Source organism: Homo sapiens, chromosome 1 (genome assembly GCF_000001405.40).
Source record: "Homo sapiens chromosome 1, GRCh38.p14 Primary Assembly".
Taxonomy (NCBI): domain Eukaryota; kingdom Metazoa; phylum Chordata; class Mammalia; order Primates; family Hominidae; genus Homo; species Homo sapiens.
This window is the reverse complement of record NC_000001.11, coordinates 174,803,416-174,822,643: the sequence shown is the minus strand read 5'-3', so window position 1 is coordinate 174,822,643 and position 19,228 is coordinate 174,803,416. Positions and strand designations below refer to the sequence as shown.

Sequence of the window (19,228 nt, the reverse complement as noted above, 5' to 3'; positions counted from 1 at the left end):
AAGGGATCTAGACTGCTCTGTCTATGAGAATCTAATGCCCTCCCCCTCCACCATGGAAAAATTGTCTTCCATGAAAATGATCCCTGGTAGGAGACCACTGTTCTAGCTGATTAGGAAGGGCCACAAAAGCTGAGTTTTTTAAATGTGGAAGGTGCCTGATGCCTAAGCATCTGGAGCTCTGACCTGTTTCCTCTGCCTGTTATCAACTGTTTCAGAACATGTCCAACATTAACATGTTCCCTGCTCACTGGGAATAAAACAAAACAATACCCCAATCTAAGGTGCACTGAAGACTATGAGTGTTAATAGAAGTCTCAAAGGCAAACAGTGGCAAATGCTTTGATATAGAAACTACTTCATTATCAATTTTTTTTGTTTGTTTGAGACACAGTCTTGTTCCATTGCCCAGGCTTGCAGTGCAGCGGTGCAATCTCCGCTCACCACAACTTCCGCCTCCCAGGTTCAAGTGATTCTCCTGCCTCAGCCTCTCGAGTAGCTGGGACTACAGGCGTGCGCCACCATGCCCGGCTAATTTTTGTATTTTTAGTAGAGACAGGGTTTCACTGTGTTGGCCAGGTTGGTCTCCAACTCCTGACCTCGTGATCCACCCGCCTCGGCCTCCCAAAGGGCTGGGATTACAGGCGTGAGCCACCGCACCCAGCTTTATTATCAATGTGTTAATTATCACATCTGTATCCTATAACATGATAACATTTCTCCAGCAGAAGATTATGACACTAAACCTAACAACTCAAATGTGGTTGTCAACATATAGAGGTCTTTATAGAAAAGGAACACAAGATGTGTTTTAATCAAAAGTGAATCTTTTCAATGGTGTACATAAAAGCACACATTTTAGATCCATGAAGTTGACAAAAACTTCTGTAGGACCTCAGTGCTAATTCAAAGAAAGCCTCTATTTCAGAGAGTACATTCTTGTTCACGTACAGCAACAACAGCCAGGAATAAATAGCAAACAGCATGAAGAAATTAGAGGTAAATTGCTTTTAATGCAATTGTTCTTTACAGTTTTGCTCTACTGTGAAAGTTATTTTCAAAAACATTCAAATCCAGTTATGAATATGGAGGTCTTCGGAGAAAAAAAATTAAATTCTAGATAAAGGAATCTACCACTGTCTCATTAAAAACATGATTTGTGAGGGGTAAGATCAAATTGTATTTGCAACTTTGGGAGAGTAGAAAATAGTCCAGCACAATATATAGGTAATTGAGCTGGAGCAGAGCTTAGAATTTTCTGAGGCAAGTAGGTGATAAGTAACATCTTATCATTGGTAGCTACCTCTTTAGCACGGGGTAGGAAGACAATTTTGGTGTGTGAGAAGATGCTGGGTCAGGATTCTGTTTTTAACCATGAGTGCCCTTCCTCATTCCCTCATTCCCGCTACCTGCACTGCCTCTGCCATCTTTGTCTATTCCTCCCACAATGCATTTCCAACTCTTAATCATGTGATCAGAGTAAAATGGTAGTGATGGTGGCAGAATTATTAGGACAAAGAGAAGTAAATCATAGGAGGTGGCCATGAATGCCAAAATAGTAATTGGCATGGTTTTGCTGCGATCACTGGAAATTATGAGCACAGGGCAGTTTTTTTTTTTTTTTCTTTTTGAGATGGAGTCTCACTCTGTCGCCCAGGCTGGAGTGCAGTGGTGCAATGTCAGTTCACTGCAACCTCCACCTCCCGGACTCCAGCAATTCCCACGCCTCAGCCTCCTGAGTAGCTAGGATTATAGGCACGTGCCACCATGCCTAGGGAAATTTTTGTATTTTAGTAGATACGGGTTTTCACCATGTTGGCCAGGCTCATCTTGAAGCCCTGAGCTCAGGCGATCTGCCCGCCTCAGCCTCCCAAGGTGCTAAGATTACAGGGGCGAGCCCAGGGCAATATTACTTTCTAGTATCAGAAAGTTCTCTTTAAAATATATGAATTTTTGAGAAAAAGATGCTTTTTATCTTGGGTAACCCCCAATAAGGGAATTAATCTCCTCTTCCGCCATTCTTCCTGAGTCCAATAATTCTTTGTTCCCTTCTCCCAGGCCCTTTTCTTGTAGTCTTTCAGTCCCATCTATCTTCACTCTCTTTTCTATTAATTAGACTCCATTTCCCATCATGTCAACCACTCTCCTGCTATTAGCCTCATCTCCTCAACCCTGTGGTGTACCAGTGTCAGAAACTACCAGCTCAAAAGTGGCTCTTAATATTCAGAAATTGAGTGGGGCGGTTAAGTCATTGGTAGCTTGAAATTTGGCCATGGTGGGAGTATTCATACCATGGAAATGGGCAAACGCTACAAATCAGGGATACCTCTTTCTCTACTCCCTCTTACTCCCCAACCCAATATACAGTTTATTAGCACAACTGCCCTGGCCCCATGTCCTTCCTTTGCCTCATATTGGCAAACCTCAACTGTGGTTAAAATAACCTTCTGTCTTCTTCATATATACATTTGGACTACTAAATGTTTCTAAAGAAAATTACAAAACACTGTAGATTTTTGCCACTATGAACTCATAGTCTACAACAATATAGACTAGCTGTTCTTTTGAGTTTTTCCAGTCTAAAAGCTCTTCCATGTTTCTCAAAGCTGTCACTTTACTGCATTCCCTTCATCCTAGATCCTGTTTAACAGAAACAATAGAAAACTTCAAATGAAATATCCTCAATTTCTTCCTCACCAAACTACACATTCACCATTTTCCCCATCCTTCCCTTGCCTATTCCCTCCAGCTTGTAATGAAAGGTCCATTCTTTTGAGGTTAATCCCTTACCTCCTCAGAGTCCTTTTCCTGTTAATATATTTCCCTTTCTTTATTTAATCTTTAACTTTTCTCTTTCTGTGGGCTTTTCCTTCTTATTGGTAGATGAAGTGGTTTGGTCCCTGGATATCAACTGTCATCATTCTCTGAAGTACAGTCAAACTGGCCTTCTCCTAGTTTCTACAACTTACTATATTCTCTCCCTCTTCACAGGCTTTGCATATGCTGCTTTTCAGTCTGGAATACCTTGTAATCTCAGTTCAAGAATGCTTTCTCTAGATCATTGAGTCAAGGTCAGGTTCCTTTGCTCTTTGCTCTCATATATCTTTATTATATCTCTTCTGAACATTTATCTCACTCTGTAAGTATACATTTATTAAGGTGATTAAATTAACACTGTGAATTCCATGAGCTCTGAGAGCATATGTGCTTTTGCTCAATCTCATATTCCCTGGGTCTATCTGGTACAATGCCTGGCATATAGTAGGTGCTCAAAGAAGAAATTAAGAGTCATTGGAAATTTTTTTAGCATTAAAGACTCATCTTTCCCATCCTCCAAAAATCCATCTTAGTCTCAACATCCTCTTATCTCTCTCTCTTGTACTTACTCATCTCTCTCTCTCCCATACTTACTCTCAGGCTTGCTGACTATCTCTTTTTTTTTTTTTTTTTTTTTTTTTTAGAGACAGGCAGAGTCTTGCTCTGTCACCTGGGCTGGAATGCAATGACACAGTCATAGCTCACTGCAGCCTCCAACTCCTGGGCTCAAGCCAACCTTCCACTTCAGCCAATCAAGTAGCTAGGACTCCCGGCATGTGCCACCATGCCCAGATAATTTTTGGAGTTTTTTTGAGACAGGGTCTCACTCTTGTCACCCAGGCTGGAGTGCAGTGGCATGATCTTAGCTCACTGCAACCCATGCCTCCCAAGCTCAAAAAATCCTCCCATCTCAGCCTCCTGAGTAGCTGAAACTACAGACACATGTCACCATGCCTGGCTAATTTTTTTTTTTCTTTTTTACTGGTAGAGACGGGGTTTCACCATGTTGCCCAGGCTGGTCTTAAACTCCTGGGCTCAAGTGATCCACCTGTCTCAGCCTCCCAAAGTGCTGGGATTACAGGTGTGAGCCATCACACCCAGCCTTTTCAAATATTTTGTAGAGATGGGGTCTCACTTCGTTGCCCAGGCTGCTCTCAAACTCCTGACTTCAGGTGATCCTCCTACCTCCGCCTCCCAAAGTGTTGGGATTACAGGTGTGAGCCACCATGCTCAGTCCAATTACCGGCTATCTCTTCCATTTTCCATCCTCTCCCCATACTAACCTTCTTAGAAAAACAGTCTCATCTTCATTTCTCTATTTACTCACCTGCTATTTATTCCTTGAATCATTGGCTTTTATTTGTCATAACTTAACTGAAACTACTTTCATTAAGACCATTAAGGATGTCTTTTCGTTAAATATTGCACAATAGCTACTTTCCACTTCTCAGTACCTTATACATGACCTCTAGGTACCACTGACACTTGTTCAACTCCTTCCTTCTTGAAAACAAACACCTTTTCCCTTAGTGTTCACAGTCATACTCTTCTGGGTTTCTTCCTGCCTTCTAGTCTCACCAGCTTCTATTCCCTCATCTGTATTTTACATGTGAATGCATCTATCCTCCACCCTTCTCTCTGCTCATTGTATATACTCCGCTATAAGAATTCACCCACTCCCATGGTTTCAATGCTGATGACTCCCAAATGTCTACTTTTAGCTCAGATCTCACTTCAGTATCCACCTGCCTATTGGATATTTATATCTACTTGGATATGAGTTGTGGATATGTACCACGAACAACATATTCAAAAGTTAACTCATTATCTTTAGTGCTTATAATTTGTTCTCTTGTTTGTTTCCTTTCTCAGTGTGATTTCCACCAAGTTGCTTAAGTAAGAATCCTAAGTGCTATCGCTGGCTCTCTTTATCTGCCCTGAGGCTCACATGTAATCACTAAAATCTGTTAATTTTATGTCTTGAATGTCTCTGGAATTCATCCATAATTTCTTCAGCCTATTACAAAAACTCTGGTCTCTTCTCACCTAGATGACTGCAACAGCTCCTGAAATGGTCTGTCACCAATACCGAATCTTAACCCTTTCAATCCATTCCCACACAGCAACCAGAATGACCTTCCTAACAATAACCTGATAATTTATGTCTCCTATTTTAAATCCTTCAGTGCTTATCACTCCCCTCAGGATAAAATCCAAATTGCTTACCGTGGTTTACAAGGCTCTGCACAAGCTGGCTGGCTCCTGCTTACCTCTCTAGTCTTTTCTCTATCTACTCCCCTAACTGCCTCTCCCTCCTTGCAACCTACTCTCCAGTCATGACCTACATTCAGGTCTTGGGCAACTCCATATTTTTTTTACCTATGGGCTTCTGCATATTGTCTGCATGAAACATCCTTCTCCCTGCCTTGATACACTCCTTAACTCCTAATAATCTTTCAGATTTCATTTTAACTCTTACTTCCTCTGAAAAGTCCTCTTGGCATAGTTCCTGGGACACAACAGGCACTCAATAAATAACTTTTCTTTCCTAATTTTCTTCCTTTAGGTTAATGTCAGATTTTGCCTTTTAATTTTGCTCAAATTATTTTACTAATGAAATACAAGTGAAATAAACTAACATATTTTAAAAAGCTCTATTATAAAGCTCTACCAACAGAAAATTTTGGATGATTGTGCTTATGAACTTTGCTACTACTGAAGTCCATCGTAAATATGGTACTTGGAACATTATTCCAAATAAAAATCAACTTAAAAACAAAACAAAACAAAAAAAAAGGACTGACCGAGTGCAGTGGCTCACGCCTGTAATCCCAGTACTTTGGGAAGCCAAGGTGGGTGGATCATGAGATCAGGAGATCGAGACTATCCTGGCCAACATGGTGAAACCCTGAATCTACTAAAACACAAAAAATTAGCCAGGCATGGTGGCGCACGCCTGTAGTCCCAGCTACTCGGAAGGCTGGGCAGGGGAACTGCTTGAACCAGGGAGGCGAAGGTTGCAGGAGGCAGGGATCGCGCCATTGCATTCCAGCCTGGTGACAGAGCAAGACTCCATCTCAAAAAAAAAAAAAAAAGACTTGTTTCTTAGCCTTTGGAGAATAATTCTCAGGAAAAGTTTACATGGCCATAGAGCTAAGCTACATATGCACCTATTTGAGCTGTAAGGAGGCATAAAATACTGAATCATAAATCATAAACCAATCAAATACCTGACAGTTTCTGACCAACAGGAATGGTAATTTCATCAATTCAACCTGATACAATATAAATGGTATTGAATAAAAATATGTAGAAAAACAGGTAATCAGATCAAGAATTATAAAGATTATGTGTATATGCACTTAATAAAGCTATATATTACGAGGCCTGGTGTGGTGGCTCACGCCTGTAATCCTAACACTTTGGGTGGCCAAGGGGGGTGGATAACCTGAGGTCGGGAGTATGAGACTAGCCTGATGGAGAAACCCCATCTCTACTAAAAATAGAACATTATCTGGGCGTGGTGGTGCATGCCTATAATCCCAGCTACTCGGGAGGCTGAAGCAGGAGAATTGCTTGAATCCGGGAGGCGGAGGTTGCAGTGAGCTGAGATGGCACCATTGCACTCCAGCCTGGGCAACAAGAGCAAAACTCTATCTCAAAAAAAAAAAAAAAAAAAAAAGCTATGTATTATGTTACTAAGAAAAACAAAATGCTCATATGTTCATACAAAGAAATTCAAATTTCTGGTAATTCAGAGTCTCTGAAGCCAAAATCCAAGTTTAAGAAGCTCTGCAATGGCAGCATTTTTAACTATAAGGCAAAAATCAAAGTATGATATTTAATAAAAACTGACTCCCTGGGAAAATACAGGATATTCATATTAGGCACTTTAAACATCTTTTATTTAGGTCTTGATTTCAATATTAAAAGTAACCAAATGACTGTTCAAAGTAAAGCCTGATGGGTCAATATGTTTTCTGATTTTGGCCTAGTTGAAACCATAGGAACAGAAGGGTATTAGAATAACTTGGAGTCACATTAGTTAAATTACCAGTTTAGAAGCTATTGAAAATGTTCCTGATATTTAATGTCATACAAGTTTTGGAAAAATAAAATTATTTATCCAATCTAATGTGCTTTATTAACAAATCTTGTTGGTACACTCACAGAAATAAACCACATACAGAGCTAACAAGTTATTTTTTGCTTGCAACTGCTGCATCTATTTTAAAGCCAGTTTCAGTTTCACTGAAATCACTGGTTACAGTTCCTTAAAATTAAAGGAAAGTGATTATTTTGGGGGGTAATTAAATGGGAACATGTCCATTCAAAAAAGACACAACTATATACAACACCAACTTTGAAAATAATTTAAAAATGTTTAAAACTTGATTACTTTTGGCAGAAATTCTATCTTTAATCTTAAATAGGCTATGGATAAGGAGTTAAACTTTCTTGCCTATTCCATGCCTGCAGTCACCTTTGTCCATGAATGCTTTGTCTAACACATAAGTCTCAGTCTATAAGTCCATCATCTCCTAAAATTTCCAACTGCCAGCACAAGCTGCTGTAATGATGGCATGATGACTCACATCCTTACCTACACATGCACTTCCATTATTCATTGTAACACCTCGTCATCTACAGCCTCTCATGGGTTGTGGCAGATCAGAGTGGGGAACGGGGAGGTGGTAGGAACAGTGGGATAGGTCTTAGTGTTTTTTCAAAACTACAAGCTATTGTAAAATCGATTTAGTGGGTTGTGGTCAGCCTTTTGGTTTGGGGATTTTCTTGGGATCCGGGGAGAAGTTTAAAATACAATACAATACAATACAATAGGTTGGGCAATGGTGGCTCACACCTGTAATCCCAGCACTTTGGGAAGCTGAGACGGACGGATTACTTGGGGTCAGGAGTTCGAGACCAGCCTGGCCAACATGGTGAAACCCTGTCTCTACTAAAAATACAAAAATAGCCAGGCGTGGTGGCACATGACTGTAGTCCCAGCTACTCAGGAGGCTGAGGCAGGAGAATTGCTTGAACCTGGGAGGTTGCAGTGAGCAGAGATTGTGCCACTGCACTCCAGCCTGGGCAACAGAATGAGACTCCATTTCAAAAAAAAAAAAGGAAATACAATACAATAGAACAAAAAACATCAGAGTGCCTCAGTGTAAGGGTAAGTATCTCTTCAGTTATGTGTATGTAAGTACGTACATATAGTCATGGTCTTGACATAAAAGCAACCAAAATATAGGTCTTGGTTTAAAAACAATTTTAGACCTTTGGATTGGAGACCTACATTCTAGTCCCAGCACAATCCCAGCCCAATACTGGATGACTTATGTCTTCCTTCTTTCAGTTTCACCTCACATCTGCCTCACAATCATTCACTCTACAATTATATGTTATAAATGAAATGGTGTCCCGTGGATACCGTCTTAAATATCCAAGAAAAAGGCATTCTCCTTAGATAATGCAAAGAAAACCCCACAAAAAACTATTAAAACTTTACAAATTATTAAATTATTAAAAATTTTAAATTATTGAAATCTTATTAAAAGCTTTAAAAATATTCATATTTACCTATTCATGTCCAAAAAATTTATTCTGGTTGTACCCAGCACTTCCCTTCCAGGAGCAGTCCATTTGGATTATATTTTGAACTTGTTTTCTAACATTTTACGCTTCTCCATCTCTCAGATCCCATGTTTCTGGATTGATAATAACTAGCCACCTCCAGGAACTTCATAAATTATATTGGAGAAAAAAATTTTCCCTATACATTTCATGTTTTTCAATTGTTTTCCTGGGTTTCTTTTGTCCTCAGTGACTTGGCAATCCTCTGAGATTTCCCTTGAAAACCTTTAACTTTTCACCTTACCTGTACCTCTTATTTCTCTACTCTTTTATTCTTAGAAATAAATATTTTATTTTAAAGGATGCCTACAACATTGACCCAATTTACAATACTTCTCTCTGGCATCTCCGAAACAATCAGTTGGCTGAAGCCTACCTTTCAAACTCACCACCCACAAAATTCAGTCAAAGGCATCATGCCCACTAGAGTATACTTTCAAAGTTACAAATAAATGTGGCTTACACTTTGGCCAAATAAAACAATCAGTCGTGAAGGCTTTAAAGAGTTTGCATTTCAGAATGAAAACTTCAGAAATCCATCTTTCTTATGATAGCTTTGGAAAATGATCTCTTTGAATATAAAGCTCACTTGAAAGACAAAATAATTTTTTTCTGCCCAGTTACTTACTTTCAGTGTACTTTTTAACTGTACTTTTTAACATTTATAATTTGATTTAAATTTAAAAAGATTGTGTTATACCAAAAAATGTTACAGTGGCTCTGGTGCCTAAAAGAAGTCTGTGTCAAAGTACCTTTTAAGTAATATGCTTAATAAGTTGATGGTGACTCTTATCTCCTAGTTGCGTAGTTCAAAATCAGTGCAATCATTTTAACTCTTCTTTTCTCCTCACACTCACATTTAATATATCAGGAAATCTTATTGGTTCTCTTTCAAAAATACTCAGGTTCCAACCATCTCCATCTCCACTCCATCTCTATCTCCACTGTTAACACCCTGGTTCAGTCTATCATCATCTCTCAAGAGGATTACTCCAAAATCTCCTGTTTGATGTCCCTACTTCTCTTACCTTCCTATGGTTGTTTTTAACAAAATAGCCATTGTGATCCTTTAAAAACCTCAGACAGATCATATCATTGCTCCACTAAAAACCCTGCAAGAGCTCCCTGCTTCACTCAAAGTAAAGCCTAAATGCTTACAATGGCCTACATTTTCTGGCTCTTTGTGAGCATTCCTACTACTCCCATTTCATTCACTTCACTCCAGCTGCACTGGCCTTCCTGTTTCTCAAGCCCACCCAGGCATGAGGCAGTCTCTGGACCTTTGAACTGGCTATTGACTCTGCCTAGAAAGCTTTTCCCCAGGACATCTCCATGACTAATCTCTCATCTCCTTCATTGACTCAGTGAGGTCCACATTGACTATCTAATAACAATCATAACCTTTGCTCCCCCACTAATCCAACCTCCCTTTATCTTCCCCTACTCTCTTTTTTTTCACAGCTATTTATCACTTTCTAACATGTTAAATAAATAATGTATTTATTATGTTGCTTATTGTCTGTTTCCTTCTGCAAGAATGTAAAGTCCCTAAGACCAGGATCTCTGTTTGTTTAGGAAAACAATTTATATTTACGTTATGGTTAGGTAAAAAGATACCCTGGTATATTGTAGAGGTATAAGAATTAACATCAGTAAATTGGTTCCAAATATTTTAAGAGTGCTCTCTCACCTTAATACTACAACTTTCTGGAAAGAGTTTTCAATTTCAAATTGATTTATAAAATGTGTTTAGCTTTATCAGACATGTGACATGGACCAATGTATCCACAGATATTTGGCAGGTGTGGGATGGGAATGGGCAGATCAAGACTCAAACTTTCCAAGTCACTTAGAGAAATGAAAGCATTGCCTAAGCAAGCTTTTCTTGCTTTGTCCTAAATAATCTTAAAACAGATGGCAAAAGCTAAATACTAAGTCTGCTTCCATGGAAACCACTATCACAGCAGCCCACTCTAGAGCCCCACCTATGAGATAAATGTTTATCTTCCTATTGTTATAATCTGAGCCTGCCAACTTTAAGTCCTACTAGAAGGTACAGCTACTATACACACATTAGCCTGACAAACACATCTGGGAGAAATCAGTTCATACACAATCTAATCTTAAACATAATCAAACCTTGCAACATATAAAAAAATTTTTACATAATTTGTCATATTATTCTGCACTCATATTTTACCTTTATTATATAAAAACTCATGTTCTTACTTTAATATTGCAAGCCTGCTCCATCAGTCTTCTTGCATTTTCCTCTGCCCTGTATCTCTTTGGAAGCTGAACTCTAAAGAACTTTAAAGCACCTTCAAAATCAGCCTGCAGAAGGTCTTCCTTTGAGGTCTGCAAAATAATCATCAAGAATCGTCATTACATTTCAGCCTGCTTTGAGGACAAATATATTTCAAAAAGAATTTATATTTTCTTGAATATACTTTTATAGCTAAGATCTAAGTTAGTTCCAAACATTTTAAGAAGATATTTCTAACATTTCAATATTTAGATGATGTTACTATAAGCTGAAATAAATCACCATAAATCACAGAAGCAATCTAAGAGTTAATGAACAAACTAACATACTGAATTCATATTACCTGAAAATTAGAATGATGGTTCCTGGCAAAGCTTACCAAGTTACAGCTCTGAGAAAAGAATAAGGCTAAAAAAGGAAAAGAAACTGGACTCTAGGACTAATCTGTGACTTCAGCTCAATGAACATTTTAAGGATATTATTAAAAAGCTGGCTGAAGACATAGAAAATGCAACCAAAATACATCAGTTACACAATAAACACCTAATGGGAAGATGGCTTTTCAACTAATGACAGCAGCAGTTCAAGTGAAAAGAATAGGAAATTGATCCCATACCTTGAAGAATGCTATGAAAAAGTAAATGAAACAAACCACCTAACTACTGATCTCTTCTGAAAACTATTGTTTACCAAATTTACTTCTTCAAAAACTAAAAAACCATTTGGAAATAAATATATCTGTGCACAGAAAAAAGACTAAAAAGAAAACAAAATGTTTATCTGTATAGTGGAATCATGGGTTATACCACTTATTTTTACTTTTTTTGAGACAAGGTCTCCTGTTGCCCAGGCGGGAGTGCATAGTGCAATCATGGCTCCCTGCAACCTCAACCTCCCAGGCTCAAGTGATCCTCCCGCCTCAGCCTCCTGAGTAGATGGAACTACAGGCACACACCACCACACCCAGCTACTTATAATTTTTTTTTTTTTAAATAGAGATGGGAGTCTCACTCTGTTGCCCAAGCTGATAACTCCTGGGCTCAGGGTATCTTCCCACCTCAGCCTCCCAAAGTGCTGGGATTACAGGCATGGGTCACTGTAACCTGAAGGTTATTTTTTTCATTACATTTTGTTATACTTTCTGTATAACGCTTTTATAATAAGAAAGACAATAAATATTTTAATAAACAGCTATAAACAACTTTGGCAAACACTGTGATACATATTATAGATTTAGGAAGATGAGTACACAGAAGCCAAAAACAAATTAGATGTTTTACAGTCAGTACTTAATAGTCAAAAACTTCAACAATTAAAAAAGCACCCAGAAATCACATAACTACATGCTGTGTCAAAATATTACTTTATTTAAATTAAAATGTAAAGCTGATTAAAGACTGCACTGAAAAAGTAGGCAGGAAGCCAGAGAAATTCCTGCTTGTAACAGGGTCTCAGTTTTCGTCATCACCACCCTGGTCCAAGTCATTATCATGACTAGCAAGACATGTAGTCCAATCCTAGCAACATCTTGTAATCTAGATTTTAGCTCAATATAAGATCTGAGTGAGACCTTCTCTGAGCACTTAAATTCTTCCTCCTAGCCCATTCCCCACCAATTCACTTTCCAGTTTTATATCTGCTCCCCTTCTTCCCCTCTTTGTCTGTCTTTCACACTGCTACATCCACAGCAACAAGAACAATGCCCAGAATATAGGAGGCACTCAAATTTCTAACAGAATAAATGAATGAAATCTACTTTCATCTCTCTTTTGCTAGAGTTTGCTTCCCTTTTCCCCTGCCCTTTAAACAGAAATGTGAAAGAAAAGAACATATTCATACCAGGCAGTTTCACAAAGGTCCACAAATTAGTAATCAAAAAATGGAGCTAGGCTAACAGTGGTAATGAAAAAACAAAAAACTCCAGTACATCTCAGATTTCTCTTTCCTCATAAACATACAGATGCAATAGCAACAAGTGGTGGAGAATGCTTAGCATGCTCTCAACTCACCTTAACTTAGCTGGAAAAGGCAGTTACTGGAAACAACTTCAGTCTGAGAGAGAGCCTCTCTAACTAAAATATCAACGGCTGAATTATGGGGGAAAGCATCCAGCTACCAATTCTACCAGATGTACCACACATCCCTAGGCTTCGTTTTTCACATGTAATACCAGTTCTGATGATTAGCTCTCTGGTAGTGGTTTGGACAATTCCAGACAAACTGCTTCCAGGGTTTGTGGAGAAACAGGATTAACCCTTTCCTCACTACCGAAAGTCCTCTGAAGGCACCTCTTCTATTTTCAATGCAATTAACCTCTAGTTACCTGGAAACAGATGCCCCAAAATGGTGATGGGCGATCTCTTCTCTGCAGACAGTAGCATAGTTATCTAATTTTCTAATATTGCCAAGGCCTAATTTCAAATCCAGCCTTTTAGCACATACAAAAGCAGATAGATTGGTATCAAGAATGAGGAATCCTACATTCTCACACACCGGACCTCTAGTCAAGCAGGGATGGCCATGTAGGCAGAGATGCTGCTTAAGAGAGGCTAATAGCCTCAGGGAGGGTACAGCAATGGGGTTCCCACCAGGGTGGGGCTGAAGCCTAACTCAGGTTAAGTCTCTGGACACGAGAAGCCAGAGTTCCCTGTGGCTGTCCTTTCCTAGACATTGTTGGTGTTGATATTGCTGCAAATCACATGGATTGCCCAGCTCAGTTAAGCTCAAGAAGAGAAGAGATCTGGCAACCATGGGGCAGGGAGGCTCAAGTATACAAAGGTGTGAAAACTGCATCTTATTCAATTTGCTAACCTCAGCCTCTGGAGTACTTGACACATTAAAGGTACTCAGGGTTGCAAAGGATGTAATAAATTCATTTTAACTTCAACTTTGGCAAACTTGTAGTGCTATGTAAGTTTTCCCATTTAAAAAATGGGAATATCTTTAATCACAAGTATTTGAGAATGAGGCCGTGCTTGGTGGCTCATACCTGTATTCCCAGTACTTTGGGAGGCCGAGGCGGGTGGATCACTTGAGGTCAGGGGTTCCAGATCAGCCTGACCAACACGGTGAAACTCCATCTCTACTAAAAATATAAAAAAAATTAGCCAGGCGTGGTGGCGCATGCCTGTAATCCCAGCTACTTGGGAGGCTGAGGCAGGAGAATCGCTTGAATCCAGGAGGTGGAGGTTGCAGAGAGCCGAGACTGCACCATTGCACTCCAGCCTGGGCAACAAGAGTGAAACTCTGTCTCAAAAAAAAAAAAGAAAGAAAGAAAAACCAACACACACACACACCAAAAAAACAAGTATTTGAGAATGAAATAATTTAAGGTATAAGAGTGCATTTTTTGAATTCCAAAAGAAATATAAGGGGTGATAGCATCTGTGTTGCTCAAATATGCTCAAAAATAGATATCTTAGTGGCTAAAAGCAGTACCTTGCTCTCACTGAATTTTTTGTTTGTTTTTTGAGACAGGGCCTCAATTTGTTGCCCAGGCTGGAGTACGATGGTGCAATCATAGCTCACTGCAGCCTCGAACTCCTGGGCTCAAGAAACCTTCCCATCTTAGGCTCCCGAGTAGCCAGGACTACATGCGTGTGCCACCATGCCAGCTACGTTTTAAGAATTCTTTTTTGGCTGGGCACGGTAGCTCATGCCTGTAATCCCAGTACTTTGGGAGGCTGAGACGGGCAGATCACGAGATCAGGAGATTGAGACCATCCTGGCTAACACGGTGAAACCCCATCTCTACTAAAAATACAAAAAAAATTTTAGCCGGGCATGGTGATGGGTGCCTGTAGTCCCAGCTACTGGGGAGGCTGAGGCAGGAGAATGGCATGAACCCAGGAGGCGGAGCTTGCAGTGGGCCGAGATCGCGCCACTGCACTGCACTCCAGCCTGGGCAATACAGTGAGACTCCATCTCAAAAAAAAAAAAAAAAAAGAATTTGTTGTTGTTGTTGTTGTTGTTGTTTTGTTTTGTTTTTGGTAGAGATGGGGGTCTCGCTACGTTGCACAGGCTGGTCTCAAACTCCTGGCCTTAAGCAGTCCTCCCACCCAGGCCTCCCAAAGTGTTGGGATTACAGATGTGAACCACTGTGCCTGGCCTCACTGATATTTTTAATTCCATAAAGTGGGCAGTCTAAGTTGGAAGAACTTATATTTTTCTTATGGGCTGCAATACAGCTAATTTCATTGTGAACGAAAACAAAAATGCCAGTAAGCACAAAACACATAAAACAAAAACCTTGCTGCCAGTATTCTAGAAGACAACCTGTAGTTAGTCCTACTTTGATTCTGATGGGTTTTTTCCTCCAATTTTCTATCTTCGAGAGACTTCCATAATCATTAAGTATTACCTCAAATGCCTTTGTAATGCCATAAGCAGATTATAAGCTTACAGAGATAACTCTTCATTTGCTGACAACTGTATCTAAGAGGTTTTTCCCTCTACAATCAAGGGATAGACACTTCTTGCTCGGCAAAGATTGGATGTTTTCTTGTTCTGCAAAGATTTGGATGTTTCACTAAGAATTTATCAAAAGTTGTTTGGCTTTTTTTTTAAAAGAATACTTTTTCAATCATAATTCGTACATATGTATGTGTATTGTCTACATGGTGGGGTCATAAACTTTTTCTTGATTACATATTCATGGCCCAAAATAAAAAATTTTTTAAAAGCCTAATATAAGGTCTGACTACAGAGATAAACATAATTAATATTTTATTACATTATTTATAGTCCTTTACCCCATCATTACATACATATCTTACACATATTTAACAAAATTTGAATCACCTATACATATTATTTTGTTAAATATATATGCTTTACAGGCCAGGCATGGTGGCTTACACCTGTAATCTCAGCATTTTGGGAGGCCAAGGTGGGCGGATCACTTTGAGGTCAGGAGTTCGAGACCAGCCTGGTCAACATGGTGAAACCCTGTATCTACTAAAAATACAAAAATTAGCCGGGCGTAGTGGCACACGCCTGTAATCCCAGATATTCTGGAGGCTGAGGCAGGAGAATTGCTTGAACCTGGGACATGGAGGCTGCAGTGAGCTGATATTGCACCACTGTACTCCAGCCTAGGTGACAGAGTGAGACCTTGTCTCAAAATAAATAAATAAATAAGCTTTATGAATGTCAAGCATTAATGTAATGTAATTAGTCTAAAATACAAGTAGTAGTGCTGTTTATGAAAATAAAACATGGTGTCAACCAGGGCTCCAGAACCAGTTCTCACCATCCTAGTGCTACTATCTCACCATCCTAGCACTAATTATTGTTATTATTGTTGTTACTTTTTTAGAGGCAGGGTCTTGCTCTGTCATCCAGTCTGAAGTGCGGTAGCACAATCATAGCTCACTAGAGCCTCAAACTCCTGGGCTTAAGCAATCCTCCTGTCTCAGCCTTCCTAGTAGCTTGGACTACAGGCATGCACCACCACACCTGGCAAATTTGTTTTTTTGTTTGTTTCTTTTACAGATGGGGTTTTGCTATGTTGCCCAGATTGGTTTTTAACTCCTGGCCTCAAGCCATTCTCCTGCCTCAGTCTTCCTAGTAGCTAAGATTACAGGAGTGAGCTACCATGCCTGCACACATACTAATTATTAATGAGCTGGCTCTGCAGATAATTAGTGCTCATAATTGAGTTTATAATTGTATGAATACTAAACCCTTACCCTGACAATGAAGAGGCTTAACGAATGATCTTGCGATCATAAGATCTATGCTTTAAAAATGTACCCCTAAAAGGCAGACTAACACTTCAAAAACCAAACCAAGTACCCAAAATAGGTTGTGCTGGCTTCTGGTTTACAATTATACATCTGTGCTCACTGAACAAAATCCCTTCAGGCTAGAAAAACTGATTTAAACTGGAAAGGCTGTTCTTCAACTGGGAAATTGTTAGAGCTTTTCTATATTGCTTTCAGAACAATGGCGAGGGAAGAGTAAAATAATGAAAATGCAACTCCTTTCCCAACATTAGTTAAGTAATGTTAGCCAGAAGATAATACGAATAAGATTTCGACAATTTCAATAAGCAGAGGCATGTTTCCTTCCCTTGGAAAATAAAGAAAATAACTCTACCAGCTTTTAAATAAGAACTAATAGGCCGGGCGCAGTGGCTTACACCTGTAATCCCAGCACTTTGGGAAGCCGAGGAGAGTGAATCACTTGAGGTCAGGTGTTCAAAACCAGCCTAACCAACATGGCAAAACCCCATCTCTACTAAAAATACAAAAATTAGCTGGGCGTGGTGGCACGCACCTGTAGTCTCAGCTACTTGGGAGGCTGAGGCAGGAGAATTGCAAGAACCCAGGAGATGGAGGTTGCAGTGAACCGAGATCATGCCACTGCACTCCAGCCTGGGCAACAGAACGAGACTTTGTCTCCAAAAATAAAATAAAATAAGAACTAATAAAGGATAACTTTTTGAAATTAGTGGCTCTACTACACAACCGTCTTTTGCTCCCTGAGCTTTCTGACAAATCCTTTTAAATAATATGAACCATGTTTACCAATTACATTTCAAAGGTGACATTACTTCTTTCTTCATTTGCATAGAACTATATAAAAAGATAAAAGTAAAGTCATTTAAACAAGTCCTACTTCTTTTCCCTTTCAAGTAGGTAGGAAGAAATATCCAGAGGGAAAGGTAAGTAGAATGTTAATGTAAGTATCCTTTGCACTTACCCCAGTGATATGAATTAAGCAAATTGCCTGACACATAATAGATATCGACATAAATTTGTTCCATGAATTTATTAAGGCTCCACTTCAAGCATATCCAATATTCAAAAGTTAAGATGTATACAATGGAAATTATGGAGTGTATTTAGGACTTATTTTCATATAAAAATTGATTTTTAGATTTTTTGGGGGGTATCAGAAGTATACATGGCAACTTCTGCATTTGGGTTTTTAACTTCTGTTATAAGTTGTAACCTCTCTTTAAAGAGCAATCCTTGCAGCTGTTAACAACAGAGGTAAAAAGGGAAGACATATTCTCCTCTGCTCTTTCATCCTTCCTTAAACTTAATGTTTAAGAAAGTCTACAAAGTTAAAAACAAACAAGATTAGGATGCAATTTATCAGCATAAGTACTTTGACCAAAATGAAACCTTAAAATGGCTACGAAAAGGGACAGCTAGATCATTTGTGTATGTATAATCAACCCTCCTTCGATTCACTGTGGAAAATGAGTAGCTGTATTCAAACTCCAGATAACACTAATTTTAACATAAAATGATCTGATAACTTCTTATGGCATATAGTAGCAAAATTAAAAATCCCGAGGGAGGCCGGGCACGGTGGTTCACACCTGTAATCCCAACACTTTGGAAGGCCAAGCTGGAGAGATCGCTTGAGCTCAGGAGTTTTAGACCAGCGTTGGCAAGAATTTCCCAGGTGAAGAACAGCCTTTCCAGTTTTGTAGAGATGAGATGAAACCTCAGTTCTACAAAAAATACAAAAATAAGCCAGGCATGGTGGTGGGCGCCTGTAGTCCCAGCTGCTCAGGAGGATGAGGTGGGAGGATTGCCTGAGCCTGGGAGGCGGAGGTTGCAGTGAGCCAAAATCACACCACTGCACTCCAGCCTGGGTAACTGAAACCCTATCTCAAAAAAAAAAACAAAAAACAAAACAAAACAAAACAAACAAAAAAAAAACATCCGCAGGGAAAAGGGGAGATTTTGAATATAAGCAAAGTCAAAGTTTCTCCTCCTTCTCCAAATATCACACACTTACAGAGTATGGACTCTGGCCACATGCCACCACTGATACCATTTTCAATGTGTTTTTCCCACTGAAAAATTCAGTGCAAGAGTATCATATTTTAAGGTGAATTTTTTTTTTTTTAGACGGAATCTCATTCTGTCACCTAGGCTGGAGTGCAGTGGTGCATCCCACCTTCTGGGTTCAAGTGATTCTCCTGCCTCAGCCTCCCAGAGTAGCTGGGATTACAGGCGCCCACCCCCACACCTGACTAATTTTTGTATTTTTAGGAGAGATGGGATTTTGCCATGTGGGCCAGGCTGGTCTTGAACTCCTGACCTCAGGTGATCCGCCTGCCTCAGCCTCCCAACATGCTGGGATTACAGGCGTGAGCCACTGCGCTTGGCCTGATTTTTTTTTTGAAAGAGGTAGGGTGGGTGGAAATATTTCCACTGTTTGAGTATTAGCTCCAGATGCTTCTATTCCAAACTTCTCACTATTCTTGAATAAATATTTCTTTAAGGGCCTCTAATAAGCAGCAGATTCTATGTTTGATTCTTTTAGGGGACTATTTGAAAAAAAAAAAATCTAAATGTGATTCTCTTTCTTATCTTCACTATTTTTATCCTAAATGGCTTCTTTTTCCTTTAGTTATGGTATCTAACAGAATTTTTATTCAGCTAAAAATTTCTGGAGGTCTGAGAATCATTTGAAAGCACAGGCTTTAGAAAAGGGAAATACCAGTTAGCTGATGTCTAGGATGTTTGCATCTCCTGTTTCAGT

The 19,228-nt window shown here is 39.4% G+C and overlaps 1 protein-coding gene across 22 annotated transcripts in view; it reads right to left on the bottom strand.

Moving 5' to 3' along the window:
- RABGAP1L (RAB GTPase activating protein 1 like) overlaps positions 1-19,228 on the bottom strand; it is an 835,789-nt gene that overhangs the window by 172,665 nt on the left and 643,896 nt on the right. For all 22 annotated transcript variants that reach the window (NR_158982.1, XM_011510223.3, XM_047436028.1 and 19 more), the window contains one exon: positions 10,684-10,812. Coding sequence is in view for 18 of the 22 variants with exons in the window: in XM_011510223.3 (XP_011508525.1) it covers positions 10,684-10,812 (129 nt within the window). In the remaining 4 variants the exon portion in view is untranslated. The remainder of the gene's footprint in view (positions 1-10,683; positions 10,813-19,228) is intronic.